Source organism: Homo sapiens, chromosome 22 (genome assembly GCF_000001405.40).
Source record: "Homo sapiens chromosome 22, GRCh38.p14 Primary Assembly".
Taxonomy (NCBI): Eukaryota; Metazoa; Chordata; class Mammalia; order Primates; family Hominidae; genus Homo; species Homo sapiens.
This window is the reverse complement of record NC_000022.11, coordinates 39,194,203-39,210,209: the sequence shown is the minus strand read 5'-3', so window position 1 is coordinate 39,210,209 and position 16,007 is coordinate 39,194,203. Positions and strand designations below refer to the sequence as shown.

At 47.3% G+C, this 16,007-nt stretch overlaps 4 annotated features.

Annotated features, from left to right (window-relative positions):
* Positions 331-831: an enhancer, noted in NCBI's record as "H3K27ac hESC enhancer chr22:39605384-39605884 (GRCh37/hg19 assembly coordinates)". NCBI's record gives its function as "activates a minimal SCP1, AML or CMV promoter by ChIP-STARR-seq in naive H9 embryonic stem cells {active_cell/tissue: H9 hESC(naive)}" and the evidence as "EXISTENCE:reporter gene assay evidence [ECO:0000049][PMID:30033119]".
* Positions 4,254-4,303: an enhancer, noted in NCBI's record as "active region_19035". NCBI's record gives its function as "activates an Ori minimal core promoter by ATAC-STARR-seq in GM12878 lymphoblastoid cells {active_cell/tissue: GM12878}" and the evidence as "EXISTENCE:reporter gene assay evidence [ECO:0000049][PMID:35858748]".
* Positions 4,254-5,215: a biological region, named in NCBI's record as "H3K27ac-H3K4me1 hESC enhancer GRCh37_chr22:39601000-39601939".
* Positions 4,276-5,215: an enhancer, noted in NCBI's record as "H3K27ac-H3K4me1 hESC enhancer chr22:39601000-39601939 (GRCh37/hg19 assembly coordinates)". NCBI's record gives its function as "activates a minimal SCP1, AML or CMV promoter by ChIP-STARR-seq in primed H9 embryonic stem cells {active_cell/tissue: H9 hESC(primed)}" and the evidence as "EXISTENCE:reporter gene assay evidence [ECO:0000049][PMID:30033119]".

The window sequence follows — 16,007 nt, the reverse complement described above, 5'->3', positions numbered from 1 at the left end:
CTTCTCTGAATGCATTCAAACATTCTACCCAAGATCTCCTTGAATTAGGAAGGCACTGGGTGCCAAAGTCTGTCTTTGAGGTCAGGATCTGCGCCTGTGCCTCCTAAGGCCTGCCTTGGTGCCTGGGGCCTGCAGACGCTGGACGGATGAAGGAACCAATGGCAGGGGCTCAGCCCATAGCTCTGGGCAAAGCTCTCCAGTGCACAGCGGCCACATGGAGCTCTGCATGGTGCAGTCACCTGTCAGTACCTGGGCACTCAAGTACCCTGACCTGCACACTCAGAGCCAAGAGACGGCAGGTGCAGGTGAGGCGGATGTAACTGACACCCGGCAGCAGCCCCGTGCATTTGAGGCCTCTGGTGACCTGCAGGCGGCAGAGTGGTGAGGAACCCAGGTTTGGGTCTAGGTGCCAGCTCTGCTGTTTGCTAGCTTTGTCTCCTTGTCTGCTAAATTGGCAGAGAATCGTCTCAGCTTTATGAGATTGTGTGAGGATCAAATGGGACTATGCCTGGGAACTGCTTCCTGTGGCAATTTTTGGGAGGGCAGACCCTGCCCAGCAGCCATCCCTCCTTATTTCTCTTGCTAAACAGAGCCCTGGTCTGCTTATGGAACCAGCTGAAATGCTGCGATCTCAGTGCCAGAGGCTGGTCTCATCAGTCCTGGGCATCTGATTCTCCTGGACCGATGGTGGGTCTGAGTGTGGCCATATAACGGCACTCTGGCTAATGAGACATGAGAGGAAGTCTGTGGGGTGTGCAGGGAGGGTGACAGTGGGGACTCATCCTCATCAGAAGACAGAGACTTCCAGGGAGACTGCCCTTTCCTTGTTTCCCTTCTTCCTGCCTTGAATGCAGATGTGACAGTTGGCGGGTCAGCAGCCATTCTGTAGTAATGAGATGATAAGGATGACAAAGAGATTGCAGGAAATCCAGCCCTGCCATCATCAAGGCAAGCGTTACTGCCTCCTGATTTCTTGTTATGGAAGAAAGATTAACGCCTATTTTTCTTCCCTAAACCACTATAAATTGGATTTTTCTTTGACCTGACACCAAACACATTCCTATAGAATTCACTGCCACACAGCCGAGTAAATGTTTGCTTTTACCTGGCTTTTACAACTCTCTGAGCTTCCCACCATCTAGAAGATGAAAGTAGGGTGGGTGAGGTGGCTCACGCCTGTAATCCCAGCACTTTGGGAGGCTGAGGCAGGTGGATCATTTGAGACCAGGAGTTCGAGACCAGCCTGGCCAACATGGTGAAACCCCGTCTCTACTAAAAATACAAAAATTAGCCAGGCATGGTGGCACACGCTTGTAATCCCAGCTACTCAGGAGGCTGAAGCAGGAGAATCACTTGAACCCGGGAGGTGGAGGTTGCAGTGAGCCAAGATTGCACCACTGCACTCCAGCCTGGGCCAGAGAGTGAGACTCTTGTCTCAAAAAAAAAAAAAAAAGAAAGAAAGAAAGAAAGAAAATGAAGGCAGAGACATCTGTCCCCATAGACTATTGTGAGGATTAAAGGAGCTAGGGGCTGTGAAATTACTCTGTGGACTGTGAAGGCTTCAGCTGAGGAGGACTAATGTGGCCTTTCTCCCGGAGACCAGGGCTTCCTTGAGTGAGGATGAAATAAACTGTAGCCAGAGAGAAGAAAGCAACAGGCATGTTTCGGAGCAGAGTCCCGGGCCCAGCTGTCGAGCAGGCCTCACTGCTCCCTCACCTGTTTCTGGGACAGGAGACATGGTTTGAGGGCAGCATGATGGTTGGTCAAGTGCTTGAATTCTGGAGCCCAGCTGTCTCTGCTCCTCCTTAAGCAAGGCCACAGACTGCGTATCCCCTCCTCGGACCCCCACAGCTGCCCACGTGCCCTCATCCCCTCATCAGAGCCCTTGTCCCCACCCTAGGTTGTCATTGCCTGTTTGCCTTGTGCTCCCTGAGACAGGGACTGAGGGTGTCCTCTTCACCCTCACACCTGGCACAGTGAACTTGACCTTGAGGCTGGCCAGACTGCGGCAGGGAAGTGAGTATGGCCAGGGCAGGAGGCAGGACAGGCAGGACCATGTCCTGGGAGAAGGGCGGGGCAGGCTGGGGACATGAGGGTGCAGGGGTGAGGGGTCAGATAGTGGTGACTTTGAGTGCGTGAGAGAGGAGGGGCTCGGTGCCCTGGGTTCTGGCAGGATGGCAAGACCACCTCTCCTCTCCTGAAGAATCAGGCAGTGACTTGGAAGCTGGTTTGGGAGATTGGAGGAGTGACAGCAGGACCATGATCCTGTGGGATGGTACCTGCTACGTACCAAGTCTTGTGTTCGTTCTGGGGATGCAGCTGTGCCCCAGACAAGGATCCTGTCCATGGAAACTCACAGCCTAGCGGCGGAAGAGGGCAACGGAGTGGATGGAGGAATATACCCCTCACACTGAGGTTCAAAGCTGGTAGGTGCCGAAGGGCACTCACTGCAGACCTACTGTGCACCAGCACTACTGAGTCAGGATCTCCGTTCTCTGGGAGCTCAGCTGCAGGGAACAACACTGTGTGTGCATGTTTGCACCCCCTCTCTGTGGGTCTGTGGTGAGTGGCCAGTGTGTGTTCGTGTGTGTACAGCTGTCTGTGGGTGTGGCTGGGAGCTTTTGCACCTGTGAGTATGTCTGTGTTTTGCTGGTAGTATTGTGTGTGTGTGTGTGTGTGTGTGTGTGTAGGAAGGGAGCAGGCATCTGCAGCAGAAGCTGAGGTCTCAGGTCTTGGGGGTTTCTCCCACACACCTGCCCCTTGGCCATGGGGTGGGGTGGGGTGCCCCGAACGCCCTGATACTTTGTGGGAAGAAGGCTGGGCACAGCGGGAATGTTTGGTTTCCTGGGTGAAGGCGGAGCTGGCCGTCTTCCCATGACAGATGTAGGAATGTTTCTGCTATTCAAGGCGGAAGCAGGGGTGTGGGGGCCGCCTGAGGCCTGCCCCAGCCCTGCTCCAGGCCACCTGTCTATGGCCTGGGAAGCAGCTGGGCACTGCTAGGGAGAAGCTTCTAGACCCAGGGCTGACCCTACTCTCCAAGCCCCATCTCCCCAGGAGGCTCAGGTCAGGCCCAATTCACCTCCCTCCCAGCCCCCCAGGACAGGAGAGGAGAATGGAGTCCAGGGTTCAGCCCAGAGGAGGACTCCCATGAGGAGGGGGCTTTGAGGAAATGGGGATATTGGGCGTCTTTCCCTGGCAGCTGAGTTGGGGGCAGCAACAGGGGAACAGCGGGGAAGCATCCTTAGAGGTCCCCCCATCAGTCAGCCCAGCTGCAGACAGCCTCAGGGTACCCTCATTTTCTTTTCTGAGTCCTGGTATAATAGAGCTTCAGAAGAGTCAGCAATGGCAAATTCCTCAAATGGGGAAACTGAGGCAGGGGTGGGGTGCTGACTTGGCCAGGTCGCCCCACCCCCAGCAGTCCTGACCCCAGACCCCCAGCTCTCCCAGCGCACCTGCCGCTCACTCCATGGAGGTTATGGCCCGGGTGGGGTACAGGTAACATGACCACCAAAATCAGCGGTGACCTGGCCTCCACCCTCTGGAAGCTAGCGCTCCAGAACCCCCAGCCCCTCCCTGGGTTTCAAATCCTGCCTTGCCCCTTCCAGGCTTCCGTCTGTGAAGCCAAGTGACTCTTCCCACTCTGTCTACACAGCCTTCCCAGGGATTGCATGTAAAGAACCAGGTGAAGGTTGGGCACAGTGGCTCATCCTTCAGTCCCAGCACTTTGGGAGGCCAAGGCTGGTGGATTGCTTGAGGCCAGGAGTCTGAGACAAGCCTGAGCAACATGGAGAAACCCCATCTCTACAACCGAAAAAAAAAAAAAAAAAAAAAGAGCGTGGTGGTACATTCCTGTAATTCTAGCTACTTGGGAGGCTGAGGCAGGAGGATCACTCAAGCCCAGGTGATTGAAGCTGAAAAAAAAAAAGCGTAGGTTGGGCGCGGTGGCTCATGCCTGTAATCCCAACACTTTGGGAGACTGAGGTGGGCAGATCACCTTAGGTCGGGAGTTCGAGACCAGCCTGACCAACATGGAGAAACCCCATCTCTACTAAAAATACAAAATTAGCTAGGTGTGGTGGCACATGCCTGTAATCCAGCTACTCGGGAGGCTGAGGCAGGAGAATTGCTTGAACCAGGGAGGCAGAAGTTGCGGTTAGCCAAGATCGCGCCACTGCATTCCAGCCTGGGCAACAAGAGCGAAACTCTGTCTGAAAAAAAAAAAAAGGCCTGGGTATTTGAAGACTTTGTGTCTAGGCCAGGGATGTGTTGGGGCCAGGTGGTTATTGGTGATTGCTGGCTGCAGTCTGAACAACCCACATCCCCCACGAAGCCACTGGGAGGCTGTGGGTGGTGACTGGGGGGTGTCCCGGGGTGTGGTGTCGTGGTATTATGTTTGTGAGGGCATCACTTTCCCCCACTGCATCTTAGTGGCTTCCTCCCCTCCAGCTGGAACCTGGGTCCAGCAGGCGGGGAAAGAGCCCACAGGGAGGGGAGCTTGTGAGAGAAGGAGGGCCTTGGTGACTTGGTGCTGATGTGCCTTGTTTTCCGGGCTGGCACAGGCAGGACACCCTGGATCCCCAGCCCTGACCCTGATTGTCCCTCAGGCCCCAGCTGGACCCAAAGTCACTTTCTTAGGTTTGGCTTTGAGACATCTCTTCTCCCTCTCCCTTTTACTGTCTCTCCCCTACCCTGAAGATCAGAGAGGAGGGAGGTGCCTGTGAGTCACCTTGTGACTCACAGGAGGGCACAGCCAGGGTCTGGGGCGGGAGTGTGTGCAGTTGTCCAGTGTGCATGTGCATGTGTGTGTGCACGGTCAGCATGTGTGCATAGGCAAATGTTCATGCATGTATGCTTGTGTGCACCTGTGCATGTTTTGTGAGGGGGCTGAGCTGGGGGAGGGGGAGAAGACATGCCTTGGCTTTCTCACCTTTAAAATGCATGAGCTCTGGCCGGGCGCAGTGGCTCAGGCCTGTAATCCCAACGCTTTGGGAGGCCAAGGTGGGTGGATGACCTGAGGTCAGGAGTTCCAGACCAGCCTGGCCAAAATGGTGAAACCCCATCTCTACTAAAAATAGAAAAAAATTAGCCGGGTGTGGTGGCAGGTGCCTGTAATCCCAGCTACTCGGGAGGCTGAGGCAGGAAAATCACTTGAACCCAGGAGGCGGCCGTGTCAGTGAGCCGAGATCATACCACTGCACTCCAGCCTGGGCGACAGTCTCAAAAAATAAAAATGAAAAAATAAATAAAATAAAATGCATGAGCTCATGGAAGCTGCCCCAACCCGAGGGGGCCACTAAGTCACAGCCAGGACAGGGTGCTTACCTGGAGCAGGTGCATAAGGCTTGGTTATATTGAAAGCGTGAAGAAATATCAAATAGGGGTAGCAAAGCCATTCTGCATTCTAAATAGTTTACATTGATCAAACTAACACTTCTGACACAACTACCATGCAACGGCCATTTGTAGACCCGTGTTTGGGTCTACAAAATCTTGAAAGTTGAAGTAGATCTTTCCTGAATATGAGGCCCAAACTCACAGACCTCCTGGCCTCCGGAGGTTAATAGGACCCTCTGTGTGCAACCAGGAGACCACAGAGGCCGTGGATGAGGGGAAGGCAGGGCGGGGCACTGGCTGCTCAAGCTGGGCTAGGAGCACTGTGGCAAGGACCTCTGTGTCTGTTGCGTTCGTCCCTCTTCCCTCGCCATCTAGAACAGTAGGCTGTTCTAGATGCACAGTAGGCTCCCAACACAGATGGCTGGATCAGTGATGACTGACTGCATGTCCCAGGTATGGAAGATCTCAACTGGGCCATGGCTGCGGGGATGGTGGGAGGGCGCTGGACAGGGAAGCCTGGTTATCATTCCCTCCTGGTGCTGCTGAAGGCCCCCTTTCCTCCAACTTTGACCAAGTGAAGATGGGTGGAGAGCTGACGCCTGGGTTCTAATAGGACAGGTCACTTCCCTTCCCTAAGAATCAGTCCCCTCCCTTGTCTGTAAAACAGGGATGCACCATGTTCCACCTTTGTGGTTTCTGGGCAGCATCAGACCATTCTCTGAGGTCTTCTCTAGCTTCAGGATCCAGAGAAATGGCTTGGGAGGGCTGGGCGCGGTGGCTCATGCCTGTAATCCCAGCGCTTTGGGAGGCCGAGGCGGGTGGATCACTTCAGGTCAGGAGTTTGAGACCAACCTGACCAACATGGTGAAACCCCACCTCTACTAAAAATACAAAAATTAGCTGGGCATGATGGCAGTTGCCTGTAATCCCAGCTACACAGGAGGCGGAGTTTGCAGTGAGTTGAGATTGTGCCGTTGCACTCCAGCCTGGGCGACAGAGCGAGACTCCGTCTCAAAAAAAAGAAAGAAAGAAAAGAAAAGAAAAGAAAAAAGAAAAGGCTTGGGAGAAGGGACTTCTGGAGTAACAGGGGACTTGGAGACAAAAGGAACAGAGGAACAGTTTGTGCCACGAAGACAAAGCATTTCCCAGACGCAGGGGTTTTACAGTAAGAACCCACAGGGTGCGTCTGTGCAATCCCACGTGGATCAACACACGTGGCCCATCCTGACAGTTTTCAAGCCAACCCCACATTTTGGTCTGTGTATTCAATCAGCTATACCTCCCCTCCAGCAAGCTAGGCTGCCGGTCAGCCCCGATTTTTTATCTGAGCACAAGAATGTCCAAGAGTGATGTTCAAATGCCGTAGCAACATTTACATCCAGGGTTCCTGGCTTTTCCCTGTGTTTCCCAGCCAGGTGGCCCTGTAGAGACCCAAACGTTCAGCCACCACAACTGCTTCTTAGAGAACCATGTGGGCTCCTGGTGACTTAGGTACCCACCCTGGTCCTCTCCGGCCATCTGTGTCCTCCTCCACCCTGGAAGTCGGCCAGGATTTGATGTCAGGCTCACCAGTTTACATTTTCTGTTATCAACAACAGTTCCTCCTTTTCAACCTTTCTTTCTTTCTTTCTCTCCTTCCTTCCTTCCTTCCTTCCTTCTCTCTCTCTCTCGCCCGCTCTCTCTCTCTCTTTCTCTCTTTCTTTCTCTCTTTCTTTCTCTCTTTCTTTCCTTGAGACAGAGTCTCATTCTGTGGCCCAGGCTGGAATGCAATGGTGCAATCTCGGCTCACTGCAAGCTCCGCCTCCCAGGTTCAAGTGATTCTCCTGCCTCAGCCTTCCTAGTAGCTGGGATTACAGGCGCCTGCTACAACGCCTGGCTAATTTTTGTATTTTTAGTAGAGACGGGGTTTCACCATGTTGGCCAGGGTGGTCTCAAACTCCTGACTACAGGTGATCTGCCCGCCTTGGCCTCCCAAAGTGCTGGGAGTGAGCCACTGCGCCCGGCCCCTTTTCAACATTTCAAACATTTGCCTGCCTTTGGCGTCTGGCTCCAGTTCCCATTCTCTGAGTTTCCTCCAAGATGATGGCAGTGGTTCCTGGCTCCCTGGCTGCGTCTGGATGCTCTCGGCAGCAACTCGGTCTGTGGAAGCTGGGCATCCTCCGTAGCTTTCAGGGAGTGAAGGCTAAAGGGAGGGGAAGAAGAAGGTGATTCTGACTGAACATTGTTTATTTTGATTGCAGATATTTATTAAAATGGAAAGGCATTGTTTAATCTTCTGTGCCAATGAGAATCCTTCAAGCTGCCTACAACAAAGACCGCTGGGAAGCTGAGGCCAGGAACGTCTGAGCCTAGGAGTTCAAGGCTGCAGTGAGCTGTGATTAGGCCACTGCACTCCACACTGGGTGACAGAGGGAGACCCTGTCTCAAAAAAAGAGAGACTCTTAGCCACATTTCCACATTCCAATTTTTTTTGAGACAGAATCTCACTCTGTCACCCAGGCTGGAGTGCAGTAGCGTGACCTCGGCTCACTGCAACCTCTGCCTCCCGGTTTCAAGCAGTCCTCCTGCCTCAGCCTCCCAAGTAGCTGGGAGTAGAGGCTAATCTTTGTATTTTTAGTAGAGACACGGTTTCACCATGTTGGCCATGGCTGGTCTCAAACTTCTGGCCTCAAGCAATTTGCCCACCTCACCTCTCAAAGTGCTGGAATTATAGGTGTGAGCCACCGTGCCCAGCCTTTTAGATTTCAATTTATTTATTTATTAATTATTATTATTATTTTTTGAGATGGAGTCTCACTCTTGTTGTCCAGGCTGGAGTGCAGTGGCGTGATCTTGGCTCACTGCAACCGCCATCTCCCAGGTTCAAGTGATTCTCCTGCCTCAGCCTCCCGAGTAGCTGGGATTACAGGCGCCCACCGCCACACTCGGCTAAGTTTTGTATTTTTTAGTAGAGACGGAGTTTTGTCATGTTGGCCAGGCTGGTCTCAAACTCCTGACCTCAGGTGATCCACCCGCCTTGGCCTCTCAAATTGCTGGAATTACAGGCGTGAGCCACCGCACCTGGCCAGATTTCAGTTTAAATTCTACTGTGGATATAGAATATCAGATCTTGTCATCGAGAAACTTTTTTAAATTAAACTTTTTATTTTGAGATAATTGTGGATTCACATGCAGTTGTAAGAAATAACACAGAGTGATCTTGTGTATCCTTTACCCAGTTTCCTGCAATGGTAAATAACATCTTGCAAACCTATAATAAGATGTCATAACCAGATTAACATCGACTCGGAACATTTCCGTCACCATGAGGATCCCTCCAGGCATCCTTTTATGGCCACGCCCACTTCCCTCCAAGCCCAGCTCCTCCTCAGCACCTGGCAACCCACGGCTCTGTTCTCCATTTCTGTAATTGTGTCATTTCAAGAATGTTATATAGGCCGGGAGCGGTGGCTCAAGCCTGTAATCCCAGCACTTTGGGAGGCCGAGGCGGGTGGATCATGTGGGGTCAGGAGTTCCAGACCAGCATGGCCAACATGGTGAAACCCCGTTTCTACTAAAAATACAAATATTAGCCGGACATGGTGGTGGGCGCCTGTAATCCCAGCTACTCAGGAAGCTGAGGCAGGAGAATCCCTTGAACCTGGGAGGCGGAAGTTGCAGTGAGCCGAGATCGCGCCACTGCACTCCAGCCTGGGTGACAGAGACAGACTTTGTCTCTAAATAAATACATAGAATGTTGTGTAAATGGAAGCATACAGCGTGTAAACTTTTGGGATTGGCTTTTCTCACTCAGCGCAGTTCTCTGGAGGGTCATCCGGGAGTCGTGTGTATCAACAGTTCATTCTTTTTTATTGCTGAGTAGTTTTCCATCGCCTGAATGTTCTACAGTTTGTTTAACTCTTCATTTGTTGAAGGACATCTGGGTTGCTTCCAGTTTTGAGCTATTATGACTAAAGCTGCTATAAACATTCCCGTACAGGTTTTTGTGTGAACATAAGTTTTCATTTCCCTGGGATAAATGCCCAGGAGTGCAACTGCTGGGTTGTATGCATGGTTCTTGCACGTTTAATTTTTAAAGAAATTGGCAAACTGTGGCCGGGCATGGTGGCTCACGCCTGTAATCCCAGTGCTTTGGGAGGCCGAGGCAGGTGGATCACGAAGTCAGGAGATCGAGACTATCCTGGCTAACATGGTGAAACCCCGTCTCTACTAAAAATACAAAAAATTAACCGGGCGTGGTGGCGGGCGCCTGTGGTTCCAGCTACTCCGGAGGCTGAGGCAGGAGAATGGCGTGAGCCTGCGAGGCGGAGCTTGCAGTGAGCCAAGAACGCGCCACTGCACTCCAGCCTGGGCCACAGAGTGAGACTCTGTCTCAAAAAAAAAAAAAAAAAAAAAGGAAATTGGCAAACTGTTTTCCAGAGTGGCTGTACCATTTTACACTCCCACTAGCAATGTATAAGTGATCCAATGTGCCAACATTGGGTGGTGTCACGGTTTTTTCTTTCAGCCATTCTGATAGGTGTATAATGCTGTCTCATTGTGGTTTTCATTTGCGTTTCACTAATGGTTAATGATGTTGAACATATTTTCATGTGCTTATCTGTCATTTGTATACCCTCTTTGATGAAATGTACCTTCGTGTCTTTTGCCCATTTTCTAATTGGATTTTTTTCTTTTTTTTTACTGTTGAGGTTTGAGAGTTCTTTATATGTTCTAGGCTCTTTGTCAGACAGCGGTTTGCAAATATTGTCTCCCAGTCTGTAGTTTGTCTTTTCATCCTCTTAGCAGAGTCTTTCACAGAAAGAAAGTTTTAAATTTTAATGAAGTCCATTGTATCAGTCTTTCCTTTTATGGGTCATAATTTTGGTGTCAAGTGTGAGAACCGTATGCGTAGCCCTAGATTTTAAATATTTTCTCCTGAAAGTTTTATATTTTTACATTTTACATTTAAGTTCATGATCCATTTGAGTTTGTTTTGTGTAAAGTGTGAGACTTAGTTTGAGGTTCCTTTTGTTTTTCTTTTTGCCTATGGTTGTCCAATTGCTCCAACAATCTTGGTTAAAACATCTGTCTTTCATCCACTGAATTGATTTATACTATTATAAAAACAAAAAATCAGCCAGGCATATCTTTGTGGAGTCTTTTCTGAGTCTTCTATTCTGTTGCCCTGATCTATGTGTCTCTCCCTCTGCCAATACCACAGTCATGATTATTGTAAATATATTACATAATAAGTCTTATATATCTCATATATAATAAATCAGGAAGACTGATCTCTCCCACTTTGTTCTTCTTTTTAAAATTTGTTCCAATGATTCTAGTTCCTTTGTTTTTCCATGTAAGTCTTGAAATATGCTTGTCTCTATCTACAAAAAATCTTGCTGGAATTTTTATAGGTAGCACATTAAATCTGTATGTCAATTTGGGAAGAATTAAAATCTTTACTATGTTTTGGAAAATGTATTAATGTGATGTGTCTCTCCATTTATTTATTTTTTCTTTCTTTCATCAGTATTGTGTAGTTTTCAGCACACAAACCTTGTGTACATTTTTTATAAGATTTATACCTAAGCAGTTCTTTTTTTTTTTTTGAGACAGAGTCTTGCTCTGTTGCCCAGACTGGAGTGCAGTGGTGTGATCTCGGCTCACTGCAAGCTCCGCCTCCTGCTTCACGCCATTCTTCTGCCTCAGCCTCCTGAGTAGCTGGGACTACAGGCATCCGCCACCACGCCTGGCTAATTTTTTGTATTTTTAGTAGGAGACGGGGTTTCACCGTGTTAGCCAGGGTGGTCGTGATCTCCTGACCTCGTGATCTGCCCGCCTCGGCCTCCCAAAGTGCTGGGATTACAGGTGTGAGCCACCGCGCCCGGCCAATTCCTTGGGATTTTCTATGTGGACAATCATATCATCTATAAATAGGGACAGTTTCTCCCTTTTTGATCTGTATGTCTCTCATTTCTTTTTCTTGCTTTATTGCACAGGCTAGAACTTCTAGCAGTATGTTGAATAAGAGTGTGAGAAGCACTAAGTCTTTCATCATTGAGTTTAATGTTAGCCGTAGGTTTCTTATAGATACTCTTCATCAAGTTAGGGAGGTTCACTTTCTATTCCTATTTTCTTCCCAAGAGTTTTTACCATGAGTGAATGTTTGATTTTGTGTAGAATTGGTATTAATTCTTTATTAAATGTTTGGCAGTGTTCTGAGCCTGGAGATTTTTTTTTTTTTTTTTTTTGAGATGGAGTCTCACTCTGTCTCCCAGGCTGGAGTGCAGTGGTGCGATCTTGGCTCACTGCAACATCCGCCTCCCAGGTTCAAGCGATTCTCCTGCCTCAGCCTCCTGAGCAGCTAGGATTACAGGCGCCAGCCAAAACGCCTGGTTAATGTCTTCTATTTTCAGTAGAGATGGGGTTTCACCATGTTGGCCAGGCTGGTCTTGAACTCCTGACCTCAGGTGATCCACCCACCTTGGCCTCCCAAAGTGCTGGGATTACAGATGTGAGCCACCATGCCTGGCCACCTGAAGACTTCTTTTGGGGGAGTTTTAAAATTGCAAAGTAGCTGGACATGGTGGCATAGGCCTATAGTCCCCACTACTTGAGAAGCTGAAGTGAGAGGATGGCTTGAGGCCAGGAGTTCAAGACTGCAGTGTGCCATGATAGCACTTGTGCATAGCCACTGTACTCCAGCTTGGACAACATAATGAGGACGCTGTCTTTTAAAAATAATGTAATATAAAATAAAATATTACAAAGTCATTTTCCTTAATAGTATCGGGCTATTTAAATTATCTGTTTCATATTGGGTAAGTTGTAACTGTATTTTTCTAAAAAGTGATACATTTCATCTAAGTTGTCAAATTTATGTATATAGTGTTGTTCATCGTATTTTCCTGTTATACTTTTGTTAAGGGTCTACAGGGGTATTCCAAGTTTCATTCCTAATATCGGTAATCTGTGTCTTCTTTCCCTTTTTCTTTGTCAGTGTTGCTAGAGGCTTGTCAATCTTATTAATCTTTTCAAAGAACAAACCTTTTGTTTCACTTATTTTCTCTACTGTTTTTCTGCTTTCAATTTCTGTTCTTATCTCTATTAGTTCCTTGTTTTGAGTTTATTTTGTTCTTCTTCTAGGACTTTTTTTTTTTTTTTGAGACAGAGTCTCCCTCTGTTGCCCAGGCTGGGGTGCAATGGCACGATCTCGGCTTACTACAACCTCTGGCTCCTGGGTTGAAGCAATTTTCCTGCCCCGGCCTCCCGAGTAGCTGGGATTGCAGGTGCCTGCCACCAAGCCCTGCTAATTTTTGTATTTTTAGTGGAGATGGGGTTTCACCATGTTGGTAAGGCTGATCTCGAACTCCTGACCTCGTGATGTGCCTGCCTCGTCTTCGCAAAGTTTTGGGATTACAGGCGTGAACCACCGTGCCCAGCCTTATTCTAGGATTTTAAGATGGAATACTTTTCCTCTTTTTTAATATATGCATTTAGTGCTATATTTTCCTATCAGCGCTGCTTTAGTTGTGTTCTAAAATTTTTGCTATGTTGTATTTTTATTTTCATTCAGTTCCATGTATTTCTGGATTTCCTTTGAAAATTCCTCTTTGATCTGTGGATTATTTAGAAATGTTTTGTTTAATTTCCAGGTGTTAGGAGGTTTTTCTGTCACCTTTTCGTTGCTGATTCCTTAATTCCATTGTGGCTTAAGAACATAGTCTATGTGATGTCAATTATTTTAAATTTACTGAGTTTTGTTTTATGGTCCAAGTCTATCTTGATATATATTCCAAAGACACTTGAAAAGAATGTATATTCTGCTACTGTTGGGTGGAGCAGTCTATAAATGTTGATCAGCTCCTGTTAGTTGATACGCTGTTCTATATTCTTGCTGATCTTATGTCTCGTTTTTCAACAATATAGGGAAGATCAAAACATTCTTGGATAAAGAAAAACTAGGAGAATTTGTCACCAGCAAAGTGACCCCAAGGAAACTAAAGGGAGGGCCAGGCACGGTGGCTCACGTCTGTAATCCCAGCACTTTGAGAGGCCAAGGTGGGCGGATCACGAGGTCAAGAGATTGAGACCATCCTGGCCAACATGGTGAAACCCCGTCTCTACTAAAAATAAAAAAGTTATTTTTATTAATTTTTAAATTAATTACAGGGTGTGATGGCACACGCTTGTAGTCCCAGCTACTTGGGAGGCTGAGGCAGGAGACTCACTTGAACCCGGAGGCAGAGGTTGAAGTGAGCTGAGATCACGCCACTGCACTCCAGCCTGGGTCACAGAGTGAGACTCCATCAAAAAAAAGAAAGAAACTAAAGGAAGTTCTCTAAACAGAAAACAAATGACAAAAGAAGGAATCTTGGAACATATGAAAGAAAGAACATGGCATGAAAAGTTTGGGTAAATACAGTAGACTTTTCTTCCCATGTTTGCTAGTTTAATAAAAAATTATAACACTGTCTGACATGGCTCTCAAATGTAAGTAGAGGCAATGTTTAAGACAATTATGTTATAAACAGGAGAGAGTAAAATGATTTAAAGGGAGGTAGGATTTGTACACCTCCCTTTAAGAGAGGCTGTTGAAGCCTTCGACTATAATTGAGGATTTGTCTATTTCTCCTTTTAGTTCCATCAGTTGTTGCTTCACATATTTTACAGTCCTATTGTTTGGTGCATACATTAGTGTTACTGTCTTCTGGGTGGTTTGACTTTATATCATTATATCATGTTTCTGTCTGCCACTGGTAATTGTCTTTGCTTTGAAGCCTACTTTATCTGATATTAATATAGTAACTTCTGCTTTCTTTTGATTAATACTTGCATATCTTTTTTTTTTTTTTTTGGCAGGGTCTTGCTCTGTCACCCAGGTGGGAGTGCAGTGGCACAATCCCAGCTCACTGCAGCCTGGACCTCCTAGGCTCAAGAGATCCTCCCACCTCATTTTTAAATTTTTTATAGAGACGAGGTCTCACTATGTTGCCCAGGCTGGTCTCCAACTCTTGGGCTCAAGCAATGATACATATTTTTCTATCTCCTCCCTCCCTCCCTCCCTTCTTTCCTTCCTTCCTTCCTTCCTTCCTTCCTTCCTTCCTTCCTTCCTTCCATCCTTCTTTCTTTTTCTCTTTTTCCAGTTCTCACCATTGCCCAGGGTGGAGTGCAGTGATGCGATCTCAGCTCACTACAACCTCTGCCTCCTGAGCTCGGGTGACCCTCCCACCTCAGCCTCCCAAGTAGCTGGCTGGGACCACAGGCTGGCACCATCACACCTGACTAATTCTTTTGTAATTTTTGTAGAGAGAGGGTTTGGTTATGTTGCCTCGGCTGGTCTCAAACTCCTGGGCTCACGATCCACCCACCTCGGCCTCCCAAAGTGCCAGGATTACAGGCGTGAGCTACCGTGTCTGATGATCCTTTTACTTTCAACCTGCCTGTATTGTTATACTTAAAGTGAATTTCTAGCTGGGCATGGTGGTTCACACCTGTAATCCCAGCACTTTGGGAGGCCGAGGCAGGCAGATCACCTGAGGTCAGGAGTTTAAGACCAGCCTGACCAACATGGTGAAACCCCATCTCTACTAAAAATACAAAAATTAGCTGGACGTGGTGGCAGGTGCCTGTAATACTAGCTCCTCAGGAGGCTGAGGCAGGAGAATCCCTTGAATCTGGGAGGTGGGGCTTGCAATGAACCGTGGTCACACCATTGCACTCCAGCCTGGAGGAGAGAGAGAGACTCTGTCTCCAAAAAACAAAACATAACATAAATAAAGTTAATTTCTTACAAGCAGCATCTAATTGGGTCATGTTTTAAAATCTGCTCTGTTAATTTCTGTCTTTAATTAGCATATTAAGACCATTAACACTTAATATAATTAGGATATGTTAGGGCTGAATTCTTTTTTGTTGGCTTGTTCTCTCTTTTTCTCTTCTATCTGTTTCCATTGTCTGGCCTTCCTGTGGAGTACTTTAACATTCTTTAGAATTTTATTTTGGTTTATCAGTGGTGTTTTTAAGTGTATATTTTAATGTAGCTTTTTAGTAGTTTCTCTAGTTATTACATTATATATACGTAACTTATCGCAATATACTGATGTTGTCATTTTACCAGTTTCAGTGAGTTGTATAAACCTTATCTCCCTTTAAGTTCTTTTATCTCTTCCATTTATAATTGTCTTAAATGTTTCCTCCACATACATTGACAGCCATATCAGAAGGTGTTATCATCTTTGCTTCCACTATCAAACATGAAGGGAGAAGTCTCATGGCTACCCAAACCTTTTCATGCTATGTTCTTCCTTCTTCCTTCCTTTCTGTTTCCAGATTGATGTCTTCTTTTATCATTCTATTTCTGTTTCGAGAACTTCCTTTAGTTTTTTAGAGTGTGTTTGCTGATGATAAATTCTCTTAGATTTGTTTTTTAATCCAAGAATACTTTGATTTGCCTTTTATTCTTGAAGGATAAATTTTCTCTGGACATAGGATTCTGCATTGACATTTTTTTCCCCCAGCACTTTAAAAATGCTATACCACTTCCCTCTGAACACCATAGTTTCAGAAGAGCAATCCACCGTTTTTCTTTATTTTTTTTATCCTATAGGTAAAATGTTTCTCTCTTGCTGCCTTCCAGATTTTTTTGTTTTGTTTTGTTTTGTTTTTAGTTTCCAGGAAAATTTGACTAT